The 1,502-nt window shown below is 46.1% G+C and overlaps 1 annotated feature.

The window, feature by feature from the left end:
- Nucleotides 741-1,241: an enhancer, noted in NCBI's record as "H3K4me1 hESC enhancer chr8:110777616-110778116 (GRCh37/hg19 assembly coordinates)". NCBI's record gives its function as "activates a minimal SCP1, AML or CMV promoter by ChIP-STARR-seq in primed H9 embryonic stem cells {active_cell/tissue: H9 hESC(primed)}" and the evidence as "EXISTENCE:reporter gene assay evidence [ECO:0000049][PMID:30033119]".

Here is a 1,502-nt window from a genome sequence, read left to right as displayed (position 1 = left end):
GAAATTTGCAAATTCCTATAAAGACAGAAACTACTAAAATTGACTCCAGATAAAGTTCAAAGTCTAAATAGACCTATACAAGCAAAGATATTGAATTACTTTTAAAACTTATCACAAAGAATAGCCCAGATGAGTTCACTGGTTAATTCTATCAAACATTTAGAGAAGAATTAATACCAATATTTCACAAGCTCTTCCAAAAAATAGAAGTGATGAGAATAGATGTGATGAAAATAAAAGGTGAGTATACTTCCCAACTTATTCTATGAGATCAATATTACTCTGATACCAAAACCAGATGAAGACATCACAAGAAAACCACCAACCAGGTGGCAGAGCAAGACGGGAGAATAAAAGCTTGCACTGTTTGTGGCCCCTGAAAGAACACCAAATTTTAACAGCTATGTGCACATAGGAAAGTACTGTGACAAGAACCAAAAATCAGGTGAGCAATCACAGTACCTAGATTTTACTTCATATTGCTGAAAGAGGCATTGTAAAGGATAGAAGAGACAGTCTTAAATTGCCTATACCACCCCTCCCTCATCTTCCAGCAGAGGTCCTACAGTGCAGAAAGAGTCTGTGCACCTGGAGGAGGGAGAGTACAGAGAGGACTTTACATTGAAAGCACTGCGGTCCTGTCATGGCTGAGAGCAACGCCATGCTGGGCTCAGTCAGCACCCATGCACAGAAGGAGCATTTGAACCAGACCCAGACAGAGGGAAATCACCCATTCCAGCAGCTGGAACTTGAGCTTCTCAGCAAGCCTTGCCACATGGGCCAAAGTGCTCTGGGTTCCTAGGCTTGAAAAGCAGCCTAGGACACAAGGGCTGCAATCTTAGGCAACTCTTAGTGCTAGACTGGACTCAGAGACAGTGGACTAGTGTGGCACATGACCTAGGGGGACACCAGTCGGGGTGGCTAAGGGAGTGCTTGCGCTACCCCTGCCCCAGGCCCAGACAGTGCAGCTTGTGGCAAAGAAAGTGACTCCCTCCTTCTGCTTAAGGAGAGGAGAGCAAACAGTAAAGAGGACTTTGTCTTGTATCTTGGATACCAGCTCAGCTGCAGTAGGATAAGGCAGAGTCGTGAGGCTCTGCCAAGCCCAGCTCGTGGATTACATTTCTAGACACACCCTGGGCCAAAAGTAGAACTGCTGCCTTGAAGGGAAGGACCCAGACCTAGCAGGATTAATCACCTGCTGACAAAAGAGCGCTTGGGTCCTGAATAACAAGTAGTTATACCCAGGTAGCATGGCCTTGGGCTCTGAGAAGTGCTGACTTACAGTATGACCCAGCACATTCTTAGCTGTGGTGATTATGGTGAGACTCTTTCTGTTGGAGAAAAGCAAAGAAAAAAGAAAAGGGGACTGTGTCTTGCACCTCAGGTACCAGCTTGGCCACAGTGGGGTAGAGCAACAAGCAGTCTCTTGGGATCCACAAGTCCAGGCTGATGCTCTTGGACAGTATTTTGGGACCTGTCCTGGACCAGAGTGGAGCCCACTG

Source organism: Homo sapiens, chromosome 8 (genome assembly GCF_000001405.40).
Source record: "Homo sapiens chromosome 8, GRCh38.p14 Primary Assembly".
NCBI classification, from domain to species: Eukaryota; Metazoa; Chordata; class Mammalia; order Primates; family Hominidae; genus Homo; species Homo sapiens.
The sequence above is the reverse complement of the archived record's forward strand: the minus strand, read 5'-3'. Positions and strand labels throughout refer to the sequence as shown.